Below are 15,821 nucleotides of genomic sequence, written 5' to 3' on the forward strand. Positions count from 1 at the left end.
CATACGGTTCAAAGTGGGACAAACTCACCCCCGACCCAGGTCTACCTGATTGCCACAGATGGCATGCTACCCGCTGCCCCAACTGTCACCTAACAAACAATTAATAATAAAAAGAGAAACAATGAACATTTAGCAAGCATTTAATATGTGGCAGGCACTGTGCCTAAGGCATTACCTATATTAAGTGATTTAATCCTCCCAACAACCCTATGAGGTAAGAACTGTTATTATATCCATTTCATAGATGAAGAAACTGAGGCTGGCAAGGTGGGGCAATGCACCAAAGGACAAACAGCAAGGATTTGGTGGAGTGGGTTTCAACCCAGCCCTCCAGAACCTGTGCGCCAAACCACAGTTCTATCCTGGACGGCTGGATGGGGGACGGACAGACTGACGGATGGGACTGATGATTGACAGCTCTGTCCCACCTGCACCAGGCCTGAGGCTGGGCACCCAGTAGGAGCTTAGCCAGCATCGGCCACAAGAACACTGGGCATTCTCACGCAGTGCCTGCCGGAGGGGCCTCATGTCCCCAGCAGGGCCGGAGCTTGGGGGCGGTGGGCAGTGTGCCTGGGCTGCTGGGGGGGCCCAACTCCCTCCCGAGCAGAGCCACGGCGGCATGACGGATGTGCCCGCCACCGCGGGGAGCCCAGGGTATAGCAGTTGCCTGGAAACAGGCTGCTCTCGCGGCCCACACTCAGACCTTTGTCACCATCTCAAGGACCTTTTTTTCCCTCTTCCTCCTTTCACGATGGAGCCAGACCCTGCACGCAGGTGAGAAACCGCAGCCAACCCCACCAGCAGCCCCCTGTCACCAGGGACCATGGGGGCCCTTGGGGCCTGGTTGCGGGTGGGGAGGTAGGTGGGTGCCGGGAGGATGAGGGGAACCTGCAGCGGGAAGTCAGCGCTCCACGGGCGGCCCAGCCGAGGCTTGGAAAAATCCCGACGCTGGAATGCTTCTCTCACTGGCTTTATTTTCCCCAAGCTTCCCTGACAAAAAACGAGGCTGAGTCCTTTTTCTTAATGGCGCAATACAAGAAGCATCAGCTTCCAGAGCCGAGGGTGTGCCCAAAGGATCTGGGCAGGGCTGGGCCTCTGGGGGGCCCAGAGCAGGGGACAGGTGTGGTGCCCCCAGCACAGCAGGCACTAATTGGCTCTCATGCCGGTGGCCCTGAGAGGGGATTAACTGGGCCCTGGGGAACTGGCTGGGGATGGGGCCACGCCCCAGCCAGGGTTGGGCTTGGGGACAGGAGTGTGGAGGAGCAACAGTGAGGACTCTGGGGTCACCCCAGCATGGGCCCAAATCCCAGCTTTGTCTCTTGGGCAAGTTATTTGTCTCCCCTGTGACTCAGTTTTCTCCTCAATGAATGGGGAGGACCTAAAAGGGTGGTTATGAGAATCAAACAATATAATTCGTGTAAAGTACCTAGCACATTAGCTGGGCATGGCGGCACGTGCCTGTAGTCCCAGCTATTCGGGAGGCTGAGGTGGGAGGATCGCTTGAGCTTGGGAGGTTGAGGCTGCAATGAGCCGTGGTCATGCCACTGCACTCCAGCCTGGGTGACAGAGTGAGACTCTGCCTCAAAAAAATAAACAAATAAATAAATAAAATATCTAGCATATAGCAAGTGCTCAATGAAAGACCACAGGCGCGCTTACTCCGAGGGCCATGGGGTGCCTGGCTCCAGGCATGCCGTCAGGACTATTTCATTCTCACCCTAAGCACTCAGGGAGGCAGGAAGTCCACAGTCCACTCACTGGCCATAGGCAGAACTGAGGCTCCAGGAGGAATGGCATTTGCCTAGTGACACTGGGGAGCATGAGATGTCAGATTGACTTCCACCCCCCACCCGCCCATCAGGCTTCCGGCTTCACTGTCTCAGCCACTATCTCAACCTCCCCGATTAGCAGTGCTGAACGCTGACCCTGAAAATCAGACCTCAACGCCGCCTGCCCCAAACATTCCTGGGCTCCCCAGTGCCCAGATAAAATCCAGGCTGATTTGCTGGGCACTAGAGGCCTGTGTGCTATGGCTCCGCCCACCTCAGGTTTAAATGACACTTCCATGCCTCTGCACAGGCTGTCTCCTCTACCTGGGACACCCACCCTCTGCTTAGCCCCTTGGTGAGCCTCAGCCCTAGGGTATACTCTGCCAGAAAATCTCCCCAGCCCAGACTCCAGGCCAAGCCAGGGACTCCTCTGCTCCCTACCCTCTGGGTAGCCCTGGGAGATCTCCTCCCCGGAGTCACCAGCCAGCAGGGAGAATGCTCCCGGCCTGGTATCCTATCTCTGGAATCTCTGCCCTCCCTTGACCTCCACAGCTTCCCGGCTGGCACTCCTTTTCTCACTCAGCATCCACAGCCCTCGGCCCTCCCCATTCTGCTCCTGCAGGAGGGGCCTTTCCCTGATCACCCCAAGCCACAGGCTGACAGCCCTTCCACCACGCTGTTGCTCCAGAAGCTACTGTGTTCCTAAGGAGGGCAGGGAGGGTGGAGGGGAGGGAGAGTAGAGGGGAGAGAGAGTGGAGAAGGAGGGTGGAGGGGAGGGAGGGTGGGGAGGGAGAGTGGAGGGGTGGAGAGTGGAGGGCAGAGAGTGGAGGGGAGGGACAGTGGAGGGGAAGGAGGGTAGAGGGAGGGAGAGTGGAAGGAGGGAGAGTGGAGGGGAAGGAGGGTGAAGGGGAAGGAGGGTGGAGGGAGGGTGGAGGCAGGGAGAGTGGAGGGCAGGGAGGCTGGAGGGAGGGAGAGTGGAGTGCAGGGAGGGTGGAGGGAGGGAGAGTGGGGAGGGGTGGAGGGCAGGTAGGGTGGAGGGAGGGAGAGTGAGGAGGGAGAGTGGGGAGGGAGGGTGGAGGTCAGGGAGGGTGGGGAGGGAGACTCGGGAGGGAGAGTGGGGAGGGAGGGTAGAGAACAGGGAGGGTGAAGGGGAGGGAGGGAGCGAGCCTCACCTTTACTGAATACCTGCCCTGGGTCAGGCCCTATTCTAGGCACATGGCCAACCAGTATCTCGATGACTCCATTTCATAGAGGACCGAAAGGAGATTAGGGTTGGAGAGATGAAGGCTCCCTCTTGCCTAAGGGCCTGAGGCCTAGCTAGGCTTTTCCACTGCCTGCGCTGCTCAGGTGACGTTCTGGGGTCCCCAAGGGCCATCACAGGGCTTGCATATTCCTCATGTTCTCTCACCTGAGCCAGCCAGCCCAGGCCCAAGGCAATGGCAGTGGTGACAACGGCAGTAATCCTAACACTGGCTGATAACGGGCACCATTTAGGCACTGGGCTCCAAAACCCACATAATCCTAAACATGGAGAAACTGTTGCCCAGAGAGGCCAAGTGACTTATGTAAGGTCACACAGCTGACAAGCCATAGCGCTAGGACTTACACCCCATGATGGAAAAGCCACGACGTCCTAGAGCCTGGGACATTGCCTGGTCTCCCGGCCAAGGTGGCAGCAGCCCCCAGGCAGCTGTGGCCCCAATTCTGGTCACTGGGCCCTAAGCGTATCCTCGGCAGCCACCTGCTAATTAGCCAGGCGGCTCCTGCCTGCTCAGTGGCTGCTTTGGAGCAATTCTCCCAGGAAAGGCCGAGCTTGCAGGAGCAGGAAAGGTAATTGCTAATTTGCACGAGAGGAGACAAAGGGACAAAGGCGCCCTTGGCTGCCCGGTGCAGCCTGAGCCAGCTTCACATCCAGAGCTCCCTGCCACTTGCCATCCACCACGGCGGGCCCCAGGATGTCTGTCTGTCCCCATGACACATCCACACAGTCTCTGTTCGGTGTAGGCCACCCGGCCGCGCCCCAGGAAGGCCAGAAGAGACCATTAACGTGGCCCTGTCATCCTTCAGAGCACTGCAGGGGAGGTGTACAGGGAGCTAACGATTGAAAAAGCGGATGATTCCCACGAACGTTCCAGCATCTTCTGGACGCTCTGCGTGTGTTGCTTACAGAACCTCACAGCCGCTCATGGGTTGATACCGCTCTCAGCCCCATTTACAGGGGAGAAAACTGAGGTACAGGGATGAAGCAACTGCCCAAGGCCACCTGGTAGGACATGAAGGAGCCAGGATTAGAACTCAGCCCATCTCGCTGCTGAGCTTGTACTATTCTATGATCTAAATTGAGACTGTCTAGTTTAAGGCTCCCATTTTGCAGCAGAAGAAACTGAGGGCAGAAAGCTACAGAATGGAAGAAGCTGGGCTTTGGAGTCCCAGCTCTGCCTCGTATGTCCTGTGTGCTTCAGGACACAATCTTCCCTCTTTGTGCCTCAGTTTCTTCATCTGTAAAATGGGCTAGGAATCTCCGAGTTGTGTGGGCACTGGGGAAAGTATGTCTGGCCCTTCAAGGTGCTGCACAAAGGTGGGCTCCCTGATTGCTCCTTCGAGGGGTCCAGCAGCCCAGTGCCTCGGGGGGCTGAAGCAGGTGCGGCTAGAGCCTGGGGCCAGGAGCCCTGTGAGATGAGGCTCAGGCTGCAGGAACCAAGGAGCAGAGACTTGTGGGCAGGGCCCACTGTCAAGGGCTGGGAGGCTGGGCCGTGGCCAGGAAGGCTGGCCCAGGGAGGAGGGGGCCCGCCTGCACGAAGCCCACCTGCCAGTATCTGCCTGAGCTGTGACTAGCGCCCTGGGGCTTGGGATTAGGCAGGCCCGGGTCCAAGCCCCACCAGGCGTGCCCCTCTCTCAACCTCAGCTTCCTCATGTGCAGCCCCTCACAGAGCTGTCCTGAGGCTCAGAGAAGCTGACAGGGGCGTGCATCTGGATGACAAGGCACTGGGGGCCAGGCTGTTGAGGGAACAGTCTGGAGACCCCGCCCTCCCAGCCCAGCCAGGCCAGACACCGGATGGACACACAGGCCGAGTGGACGGTCACGTGAGGTACCTCTTCCTCTTCTCGCCGAGACCTGCCCCAGACTCTGCCTGCCTGCGGCCTGAGCTTCCCCAGGCTCTGGGCCTTTCAATATCCTTACAACAGACCTCCTGTCCCACCAAGCTGTGCCTTACAAAACCTGGTCGGGGACCACAAATCTGCAAGGCGCTATTATTGCATAGCACACATGTGCAGGAGGTGCATGCATGGGGCTGCTTATGGTAGGGGGTGTAAGGGCACTGGACGATCTCTCCTGCCCCGCACCCCCTGGGCTCTCTGAACCAGGACAGCCTGGTCTTAGCCCTCCATCAGCCCTGCCTCACTGTCAGCCTGGGCAAGTCACACATCCTCTCCAGGCCTCAACTTACCCTCTCTGTAAACTGGGGCTATTACTTCTTGTTCCATCTTCCTCATGGGGTTCTTAGAAGACTCAAGTGATAGGACAAATTTCCAACAGCTTTGAAAACAATTCAGAGTCATACCAGAATGTTAAGTTGTTAGGTTCTGGTTTTAAACGTTAGGCACAGTGGCTCACGCCTGTAATCTGAGCATTTTGGGAGGCTGAGGTGTTGGAGACCAGACTGGGCAACATGGCAAGACCCCGTCTCTAAAAACAAACAAACAAACAAAAACAGAAGAAGAAAAAAATTAGTTGGGTGTGGTGATGTGCCCTGTAGTGCCAGCCACTCGGGAGGCTGAGGTGGGATGCTTGAGCCCAGGTCAAGGCTGCAGTGAGCTGTGATCGCACCACTGCACTCCAGCCTGGGCAACAGAGCAAGGCCCTGTCTTAAAAAGTAAGCAAATAAAAATAAACATTTACTGAGAAGCTCCTATAAGCCAGGCCTCAGGCTGGGCACTTACACACATGCTTCCCAGAGTGGTCTCTGTAAGTCCCATTGCAACTCGGTTCTATGGGCTGCAAAACTCCTGTCCCTGTTTTGCAGTTGAGGACACTGAAGCTCAGAGAGTGATTTGCCTAAGATCACATGGCTGGAAAGCAGTGGACCCAGGATTCGAATCCAGGGCCATCTGCGAATCCGTCACTCAGGGTGAGGAGCTGGATGATAGTAGCCTCTTTTCCAAGTCCCCATGGGTCTTCAAACCCACTCAGCACTTTTAAGATATGGGCAGCAAGGCACCTGCCCCAGCCCCACCTACAAGGTTGGCATCACTGACTCCCGTGGGGACAGGCTACGAGGGCTCAGAAATCATTTTGTTCTGAGGCTCAAGGTCCTGCAGAGTAAAATGTGGTCTTTTGATTCCCAAATACAGGGGGTGGGAGGAGCTGGGGACACTGGCCTCCTTGCAGTTCCTCAAACCAACCAGACACACTCCTGCCTCGGGGCCTTTGCACTTGCTGTTCCCTCTACTTGGAATGTTTTTCCACCCAATTCCCGTATAATTTGCTCCTACGGGGCTCTGCTCAAAATGTCACATTTTATAGCTGAAGGCCTCTCACTGAGGCCCTCCCTGACACCCTGTTTAAAATTCTAACACCTCCTGCTCCAACCCCTTGAGTTCCCCTGGTTCTGCTTTACTTTTCTCCACGCATTTACCAGCGTCTGACACAGTGGGCCTGTTCCTTGTTTATTGGGTACTGTCAGCCTGCCCTAGAACGTCAGCTCTATGAGGACAGGGATTTTGTTTATGCCTCCAGAGTAGAGTGTCTAGGACAGAGCAGATGCTTGGCAAATATTTGAACAAGTGAATCAAACTGAGGCCCAGAGAGGAAAGCTGGTGGGCCCCAGGCTGCACAGGAAGTGAAGGGGCAGCATTTGTGTCCTGGCCTTCTGCCCAGCCCTGGGCATCTGTCCCCTCTCTTTACTGGCATGGAATCAGCTTGGCTTTGCTAGAATCAGGGGTGCAGGAGCCTGGGTCCTTGCCTCCTTCCCCTCCTGAGAGATCTGGGAGCCAACAATGGGTGGGAGAACAGCCTCCGCCCTGGGGCTGCGTCAGGGAAACAGCAATGTGGGTGTGTAGAATGTGTCCTTCCAAGAGACCCTGGCTTCCCACCTGCCCCACTCTCCATCCCGGTTCCCAGAGGCAAGGCTGAGAACAGAGCCTTCTTTTCTTTCTTCCTCCTGATTTAGGGAACGGGATCTGCCCCAGACACACTAGCTGCCATGGCGAGGTGGCAGTTCCTTGCCTTCCTGGTGGCCTCCATGGAGGATTGTTCTCCCTTTTCACAGACAAGGTGCTGAGGGCAGAGGAGCCAGGGCACCATTTGTCCAAACTTACTTGGGCAAAACCAGACCTCAAACTCTGCTCTGGCAAGTCAGACTCATACACTTCCCCTGTGCTGAGTCCCCCACAGAGGGAGGAAACTGCCTGCTGGAAGTGGCAGGTGGCCATAGCTGGGAGCAGCTGCTGGTCAGCCGCCTGCCTGAGCGCACATCTGGGTGCTGCCCTTTGCTCACAGGGGCCCTTGGGCAAGTGGCATAAGATCTCAGTGCCTCTCAGTGTTGCTGCAGGAGCCCAATGTGCAAACACACACAGAGCACTTAGAACAGACTGGCACCCACTGAGTACTCAATAAACATGAGCTGACACACTACCATCATCACCATCATTGGTGTGTGCCATCACACACACCACCATCACCATCACACCACCATTGTCATCACCACCACCACCACCATCATCTTCATCACCATCATTACCACCACCATCATCATCATCATCACCATCACCATCATCTTCATCACCACCATCATCGTCACCATCATCGTCACCATCATCACCATATTCATCACCATCATCATCACCACCATCATCACCACATCAACATTATCGTCACCATCATCACCATCATCACCATTAATACCACTATTGTTACCATTACCATCACCACTATAATCATCATCATGACGGCCATCACCATCCTCACCACCATCCCCACCATCCCCAACACCATCACCACCATCAGCACCACCACCATAACTGTGTCATGTAGCATCCGTTCCCCACAATATGCCCTGAACTCTGCCAGGGCAAGAACCACATCTATGGGTCTCAACAGTGCACCCCAGGAGGCCCTCTCCAGGTTGCTAAATGGATAAATGAGTGAATGAATGATGAACAGTTCTTTGTGCAGGGCAAAGCAGCTGATGAGGAGGAGACTCAGATTCACCCCTCCAGCCCCTCCCCCTCATTCCTAAATGGGAGTAAATCTGCTCCCATTTAGGGCACTGCCCCCTAGAGCCTACAGCCTCCCTGGACCTCAGACTCCAGTCTCTGCTCTGCACACACTGGACCAGACTCACTCCCTAAACACCTCCCTCCCCATGTTCTTCCTGCTCTACAACACTCAATGGCTCCCAATCCCTGAGATCTGGCTTTCTGGGGCCCCACTATGGGGCCATCCAGCCATATCTCCCCAGCCCTGCACCTCCCTTCAAGCCAGTTTCCTTCCCTCCTTTCCACCGCCTGTGCCCCTGCCCGACCTGGGCTTCCCAACATGGCCAGAGAAAGTGGAAATCCTCTTGATGGGGCTTGAGGCCCATGATGACCCAGCCCTGCTGACCCTGCCAGGCTCCTGAGTCTCTCCGTCCTGGAACTGGAGGAGCCTGCTTGTTGGGTAGGTCGGACCCCCCTTGATGGGACTGCAGGCTGCTTGTGTGGGGGACCCTGGCCATCTCACCAGCCCTCATGTTGGCCCCACAACAGCTCTGCTTCTCCATTTTGCAAAGGAGAAAACTGAGGCACAAAATGGATAAAGACAAGGCTTGAGGCATTCATTTAAAAAATATACACTGAGTGCTAGGAACTCAGCAGTGAACCAGACAGCAAATATTCCTGTCCTTATGGAGCCCAAGAGGAACACGCACAAAAACACAGCTTTGTCAGATGTTCATAAGGGCTCCAAAGTTAGTGTAAGGGGCTTGAGAGTGATAGGAACCAACGACATTTTGAAAAGACAATCAGGGAGGGCCTCCCTGAGGAGGTGACATTTCAGCAGAGCTCAGTGACGTCCAGGGGAACAGCCAGGAGGCCAGTGTGGCTGAAGGAAAGTGAGCAGGGGCCAAGGAACTGGAAAGAGGGACCAGAGCTGGGCCTTGCAGGTCATGGTGACTTTTGCTCAGAGAGTGATGAGAAGCCACAGGAGAGTTTTGAACAGAGAAGGAACATGGTCAGGTTTACATTTTTAACACAGCACTTTGGCCACAGTGTGAAGCGGGGCGGAAGTAACAGGGAGGACAATGAGTGCTACAGCTGGGGAGGAGGTGACAAGAGCTGGGGTAGGAGGTAGTGATGGAAAAGGCCTTGCACTCCCGCACTCCCTAGAGCACTACTTCCTGGGAAAGGGGGGCTCAGAGGAGCCAGACACTAGGGCAGCAGGGCTGGCATGGGGGACTCCAGGCAGAAGCCACCTCCTGGAGCTCAGCAAGCCTGGCACAACCAGGACAGGGGCTGGCTTCCTGAGCCAACCAGCTGGAGAGCACACCAGCCCCTAGGCTGCCCCTGACCTCCAGCCAGGGGGGTACCTGGTACTCCCAGCTCTGAGAGGGCAGAGATCAAGTCCTGTTCACCACCACAGAGGCGGTACCTAGCACAGCTCCTAGCAAAGAGTAGGTGCTCTGGCAATCTTTATGGAATGAATGACAGGACCTGGTACATAGCAGGCACCAATCAAAATGTGCTGAACAAATCAATGAATGAATGGATTGCCTGCAGCCCTGTATCATTTGCCGGTAGTTTCTTGTGTTAGTCTGAGTTCCTTAAAATAATTACAACTGCTGTGGATCGGATCGCAGAGCCTTGCCAGGAGCCAGGCCCTGAGCTAAGTCTCTTACCAGCATGAAACAACCCCAAACAGCAGGTTCTATTGCTAGGCCCATTGTACAGAGGAGGAAACTGAGGCCAAGGGAGGTTAATTAATTTCCCCAAGGTCACTCTGTTACTAGGCAGCACAGCCAGGATTCGAACCCAGGGCTGGGTTCTTCTCAGCTACATGTTAATACCTCCTGAATCAGGATCTTATCAATGACACCGTCATTCCCAACTCAACTGTAAATCCTCCTGAGGGCAGGGATCCCTGGGGTCCCTGATGAACAACCCCAATCCTCCATCACATCTTAGGCGCTGCGTTGGCTGTCCACAGCAGCTCAGAGAATGGCACTGCCTTCCCAATAAGGAACCCAAAGGCTTGGAGCTTGGGAACCTTTCCAAGAATGGTACCCCAAAGGGGCAGCGGAGGAAGGCCTTGAGCCCCCATCTTCTGGGGCCTGGCCAAGGGCTCTTTCCATAGTACCCTTCCCCCTCCTGTCCCCACAGTCACCCTGTGTACCCAGCACAGGCGCAGGGATTGAGTTCCCAAACCACGAGCCCTGTAAGCAGCAGCAGCTACTTCCTGGGGCCCAGCGGGTGTCCAGAAAACCCGCCCACACCAGAGGCCCGTCTCAAGGTCTGGGGCCACTGGGTTGACCCTGGGCTGACTTCTTACCTCTGCCTCTCTTTTTCCTGAATAGACAAAAACTGAGCTTTAGGACCTGCACAGGGAGCTGGGCATTTAAAACTGCAAGCAGGGCATGCTTAGCTATATATGCACAATAATAATTAATAACAATAATGATAACAACAGCAGCCACAGTGATGATGGCCAACACTCACCGAGCACTCAACCACGACCCTTAAGAAGCCCTCAATGCTCACTACAGCCTCCAGGGAAGCAGGTCCCATTAGCACTCCCACTTTTTTGGATGTAGAAACTGAAGCACAGAGAACTTCAGCAAGTTGTCCAAGCCACACAGCGACTATGCAGTGAATTCAGGATTCAAACTGAGGAACCCCACTCCAGAGCCAAGTATGTTGGGCACAGAAGGGAGTGGACTCCTCCAGGCAGGGGAACCAGCGGGCAGGGAATGGGATGGGATGGCCACTTATCAGGTCCTAGGGAACTGCTGGTTTGCTTTTTGTTATTGTGGGGGTTTTTTTGTTTGTTTGTTTGTTTTAGTTGGAGTCTCGCTCTGTCGCCCAGGCTGGAGTGCAGTGGCGCGATCTTGGCTCATTGCAACCTCCGCCTCCCAGGTTCAAGAGATTCTCCTGCTTCAGTCTCCCAAGTAGCTGGGATTATAGGCGTGTGCCACAACGCCTGGCTAATTTTTGTATTTTTAGTAGAGATGGTTTGTTTTTTGTTTCACCAGGTTTCACCATGTTGGCCAGGCTGGTCTCAAACTCTTGACCTCAAGTGATCCACTCACCTCGGCCTCCCAGAGTGCTAGGATTACAGGTGTGAGCCACCATGTCCGGCCAACTGCCGGTTTTGGTTTGGGTTTTAAATCATGTGCGTGTACTGCCATAAAACAAACCTCTTTCGTGCACCTTCACCCACCTTGCCCCTCCTAGGAGGCCTATCTCCTCCTCTCCCCATGGCACCGTTTCCTTCCTCACAAGAGGCTTTCCGTGCTTCCTCCCCAGCCACCAAGGCACTCTCTCCCTGTCCTAACCCCTCAGGAGGCTGCCCAAGATCATGCACTGGCCACACGTCTGCTCTTGGGGCAGCTGGTAGCTGGCCTGGGCTGGGTGTGGGGCTGCACCTCCCCATTTAGGCCCCACCCGCTGAGGGCAGAGGCCTGGTCTCACAGGAGCCGGCAGGAGGCTCTCCCAGCCTCGGCTGATGTGGAGTGGCCAGCGGTTGGCTGTGGGTCTCCATGCTACTCGGTACTCTCCCTGAACTGCAGAATCTTTGGGGGATCCCTGAGGGTGAACCCTACCAACAGACCCTGCTTGTGCCTAATATCCCAAGGTTGGCACCCTCTGCCAGGCAGATTCACACCCAACTCCCCAGCCTGGGATGAACCACCATCCAAGACCAGGTAACACCACAGAGGATCCCAGAATCTAAGCCTTGCTGTCAGAAGGATGGCGATTTAAGGAGCTGAGGACACAACCCTTCCCTGTGCTAGCTGGAGTCTGTAGTCTGCCTCTTCCCAGCTTTGTGCTCTTGGGCATCTTACTTAACGTATCTGAGCCTCCGAATCTCCATTGGCGAGATAAGGATCCCAGCGGCCACCAAATTTGGACAATCACATGGGGTCGTGTGCATAAAGTGTTTAGCACAGGGCCTGGCACTTCCTAAGCACTGGGCAATACTGGCTGTGTCATGACTGCCATTGTTCTCACTCCACAGCAGACACGGACTGAGGACTTCATGTATTCCAGATTCTCCCCACAGCAACTGGAAGAAGTAGCTGACGTTGCTCTCCCCATTTTACAGATGTGAGAATGGAAGAAGTTAAGATGGATCCAAGCCAGTTGGTGAGTCAGGATTCGAACCCAGGGCTCTTGTTCCCGCTCTCAGTCCTGTAATGCACAGCCTGAACTCCGTGGAGCCCACTGCCCCTCGCCCCTCCTCCCCGATGACCAGCCTCTGATTGGAGCAGCAGGACTCCCGGCCTCCACTTCCCACCACCTTTGGCTTGGCGCCGTCCCTCTGACCTCTGGCTTCCATCAAGGCCCCCTCTCCTCCAGATCTGGGGGCTGGGGCCCTGTCAATCCTGGAGGCAAACCCAGCTGACTACTACCCTCCTGGAAGCCCCCCAGCCCAGTTTCCCTGCACAGGCTCTGGCTTCCCTTCTACCTCTGCCCACTGCCCCTTCTGCAGCTCTCTGCTCCAGTATCCCCTGCCCCGGACTCCATGTCCGTAAGGTCTCACTGCCACTGGCCACGCCACAGGCATAAGCAGAGAGCAGTTCTTGTTTCCGATGCTGAGCACTTGACATGGAGTCTCTCTTCAGCTCCCCAAGGCAGCTCTGAGAGATAGGTCATACTATCGCATCCTTTTCTTTTTTTTTTTTTTTTAGACAGGGTCTCGCTGTCACCCAGGCTGGATGGAGTGCAGTGGCACAACCACGGCTCACTGCAGCCTTAACCTCCCAGGCTCAAGTGTAGCTGGGACCACAGGCATGGCGCCACCATGCCCAGCTAAGTTTTTTTAGTTATTATAGAGACACAGTCTCACTATATTGCCAGGGCTGGTCTCAAACTCCTGGGCTCAAGTAATCCTCACACTTCGGCCTCCCAAAATGCTGGGATTACAGGCATGAAATACTGTGCCTGGCCTGGGTCCATTTTACAGATGAGAAAACTGTGGCTCAGAGAGGGGCAGCAACTTGCTTCAAGGTCATTCAGCTCATGAGTCACAGAGATCCACTGAAACCCCGGCCAGTCTGAGCTCCAGAGACCCACTCGGTGGCACTGCTTCACCTGGCTTCATCACAGCTTCTAGGGTTACTGATTCCATCTCAGTCACAATCCCGATCACAGCTTCCTTTCATTGAGGGCTTGACTGTCCACACCTTGGTATAGATACTTCTATACAATAGCATAGAAGGAGGATATAACTGAATCCATAGCTATTGTCATCCCATTTTACAGATGAGGAAACTGAGGCTCAGAGAGGGGAAGTAACTTACCCAAGACTGCACAGCAGTAAGCGGCAGAACCTGGACCCAGCCCCTGGCTCCAGACCCCCACTGCTCTGCTGACCTGCAGGGGCCTCGAATCAACATAAAGCCTTTCACCCCTAGCCTGCTCCTGTCTCAACCTCAACCTCCAGAGAACATCCATCCTCCATGGAGCCTCCCAGCCTGAGCCCTCTGAGCTGCCTCCCTTCTTCTCTCCCCTCAGCCCAGGCTTCCCTATCACCCCACAGAGAGCCTCGGAGCCACCCTTGGGAGCTTCACAGCTGCCTGGCTTTGGGATCTTTGCTCTGAGAGACCCCAAGATGGAGCAGCAGCCCCTATGCTGTGGCCCACCGGGCAGGCTTGGTTTTATGCCATCTTCCCAGCTACCCCTTGGGGTACGGGTTTTATCACCCCCTTATACAGAAGGGGTCAGGGATCAAAGCAGGCAAGCCATTTGCCCAGAACCACACAGCTGTTGCCAGAGTTGGGATCCAAATGCAGGACTGTCCTTGGCCATACCGCCTTCTGGATGTCCCTACAGTGGCTCTGCCCAGTCAAGAGCCCCTGTTGCCCGGGGAGACCCCTCTTCACATCCTCATGACAATGACAATCCCACGAGTTAAACATTTCACATGGATTCTTGCCTTTAGTTTTTCCCAACAACCTGCAGGGGAGGGGCAATCATCACACCCATTTTACAGACGAAGAAACTGAGGCACCCAGTGGTTGCTTAGCTGGGGGCCCAGCAGAGCCTGTGCCTTGGTTTGCTAACCTGTAGAATGGGGTCATAACACAGCCTTGCAGGGTGCTTGAGGACTGTGCAAGGCTGTGGAAGCCAGGGGCTCTCGGAAACACCCCTGAGGGCTGTCCTCAGACAAGGCCGGAGGCCCGATTGTGTTTTTCTCGACTCGCCAGCATCCAGTCAGGGCCTGGCCTGCTGAAGGAAGGGCCCCATGTCTCCTTGAACATTTCCTCAGCCCGGGGATGCCGAGAAAACGATGAGTCATCCACCCAAGCAGAGGCCTCCCAGGAGCTTGTGTCGGGTCCCAGCCGGGAGGGGAGGGCTCCAAGCTGGAGAGGGGGCCCGGGTAACACGATGACTCCCGCGCTGGCCCCGAGGCCTAAGTCACGGGGTCCCCTCCACGGCCTCCCACCGCCACAGGCTGCCAGCCTACCGGACACCCTTGGATGCTGTGCCCCAGATCCTGCCCCTGCGCCTTCACCCCAGATCTGCACCCCGGTTTCCTAAACCACTCTTCCCACCCACGAATCCCAGGGTTGCCTGCGACCCTCTAGCCTCCCTCACCCCACTCCCACCTCACCTAGCCCCAGCCACTCAACCGCTGGTCCGTCGAGGAAACCCGTCACGCCTTTCTCCCCTCACCTCACTATGCCTCTGCCTGGTTTTCCTTCTCCATCGCCCTCTTGCCTCTCACCACAGAATCTGAGCGTTCCTTCTAAAACCCCAACGTGACCTTAGCTCCCTCCACGTGAGAACCCTCCTGTGAGCTCCCTGCTGTGCCTGATGCGATGGGCTCTTCAGATCTCTCTCCTCCATCTGGCCCCAACCAATCTTGCCAGCTCACCCCTTCAGGACCCCACTGTGGTTCTCAAGCTGACTTGGCCATTTACTCATCTCCACTCCATCTAGAATGTTCTTCCAAACATGCTTCTCTAAGAAAATTGGCCCTGGGATCCGTCGTACAACGCCCACGCTGACCCCGCCAAAACCAGTCCCACCCCCCGGAATGAGCTTCCCTATGCTCTGCTCTTGCTGAAAAGTTCTTTTTGGACTTCAAGGTCCAGGTGAAATGTCACTTTCCCAAGGACTTCTCAGGCCCTGTCCCGTGGGAGGGTGGGTCTGCGCCCTGGGGCTGCTCAGGGCCTCTGTGTAGAACTAGGCAGTTCTCAGAACCCGGCTCTGAGACATCTGCTGAACCACCCTGCCCAGTGGGGAGCCCCTTAAGGGCAGGGGCTGGTCTGGGTCCTGGGGACACGGCAGCAAAAAAACACAGACGCAGTCCGCCCTGCTAGTGCTCATGGCCTTGGAGGAGACAGATCCTAAGCACAGAAAGTAGTGAAATACACATAATGTCAGGCAGGGATAAGGGCCACAGAGGAAAAATCAAGTAGAAAAGAGAGATGGGAGATGGTCCAAGGGATCTAAGGTGGGCCTCACTGGGTGATCAAGGAGGCCCTCTCTGAGCAGGTGACATTTGACCAAAGACCTGAAGAGGGAGAAGAGCTGGCCATGCAGAGATCTGAAGAAAGAGTATTCCAAGCTAGAGGAAGGCCAGTGCAAGGGGCCTGGGGCAGGACTGTATTTGGCGTGTTTGGAGAATAGCAAACAGGCCAGTGTGGCTGAGGCCAAATGAACGAGGCGAGAGGGAATTGAGAGCAGTGGGCAGCCAGGGCCAGATCGCGCAGGGCTCTGCAGGCTACTGGGAAGGCCTTGGCTCTTGCTTTGAGTGAGACAGGAGTCTTGGAGGGTTCTGGACAGAGGAGGGAGAGAACCTGACTTGGGGTTTCCAAGGTTTCCTCTGGCTGTTTGTGGGAAGAAGGGGTT

At 55.6% G+C, this 15,821-nt stretch overlaps 1 protein-coding gene and 1 long non-coding RNA gene across 2 annotated transcripts in view, besides 6 other annotated features; one reads left to right on the forward strand and one right to left on the reverse strand.

The window, feature by feature from the left end:
- NOL4L (nucleolar protein 4 like) overlaps positions 1–15,821 on the reverse strand; it is a 142,275-nt gene that overhangs the window by 117,347 nt on the left and 9,107 nt on the right. The window lies entirely within an intron of this gene.
- On the forward strand, positions 688–13,886 carry NOL4L-AS1 (NOL4L antisense RNA 1). The gene is made up of 3 exons (NR_199031.1): positions 688–774; positions 11,983–12,107; positions 13,227–13,886. It is a non-coding gene; the product is annotated as an NOL4L antisense RNA 1 (long non-coding RNA).
- Positions 1,465–2,116: an enhancer, noted in NCBI's record as "H3K4me1 hESC enhancer chr20:31149672-31150323 (GRCh37/hg19 assembly coordinates)". NCBI's record gives its function as "activates a minimal SCP1, AML or CMV promoter by ChIP-STARR-seq in naive H9 embryonic stem cells {active_cell/tissue: H9 hESC(naive)}" and the evidence as "EXISTENCE:reporter gene assay evidence [ECO:0000049][PMID:30033119]".
- Positions 3,034–3,575: an enhancer, noted in NCBI's record as "H3K4me1 hESC enhancer chr20:31151241-31151782 (GRCh37/hg19 assembly coordinates)". NCBI's record gives its function as "activates a minimal SCP1, AML or CMV promoter by ChIP-STARR-seq in primed H9 embryonic stem cells {active_cell/tissue: H9 hESC(primed)}" and the evidence as "EXISTENCE:reporter gene assay evidence [ECO:0000049][PMID:30033119]".
- Positions 9,976–10,700: an enhancer, noted in NCBI's record as "H3K4me1 hESC enhancer chr20:31158183-31158907 (GRCh37/hg19 assembly coordinates)". NCBI's record gives its function as "activates a minimal SCP1, AML or CMV promoter by ChIP-STARR-seq in primed H9 embryonic stem cells {active_cell/tissue: H9 hESC(primed)}" and the evidence as "EXISTENCE:reporter gene assay evidence [ECO:0000049][PMID:30033119]".
- Positions 14,082–14,376: an enhancer, noted in NCBI's record as "tiled region #4335; HepG2 Activating non-DNase unmatched - State 8:EnhW, and K562 Activating DNase matched - State 5:Enh". NCBI's record gives its function as "activates a minimal TATA promoter and a strong SV40 promoter by Sharpr-MPRA in HepG2 and K562 cells {active_cell/tissue: HepG2 | K562}" and the evidence as "EXISTENCE:reporter gene assay evidence [ECO:0000049][PMID:27701403]".
- Positions 14,082–15,161: a biological region, named in NCBI's record as "Sharpr-MPRA regulatory region 4335".
- Positions 14,206–15,161: an enhancer, noted in NCBI's record as "H3K27ac-H3K4me1 hESC enhancer chr20:31162413-31163368 (GRCh37/hg19 assembly coordinates)". NCBI's record gives its function as "activates a minimal SCP1, AML or CMV promoter by ChIP-STARR-seq in primed H9 embryonic stem cells {active_cell/tissue: H9 hESC(primed)}" and the evidence as "EXISTENCE:reporter gene assay evidence [ECO:0000049][PMID:30033119]".

The sequence above is a fragment of the Homo sapiens genome, chromosome 20, assembly GCF_000001405.40.
Source record: "Homo sapiens chromosome 20, GRCh38.p14 Primary Assembly".
In the NCBI taxonomy this organism is placed as follows: domain Eukaryota; kingdom Metazoa; phylum Chordata; class Mammalia; order Primates; family Hominidae; genus Homo; species Homo sapiens.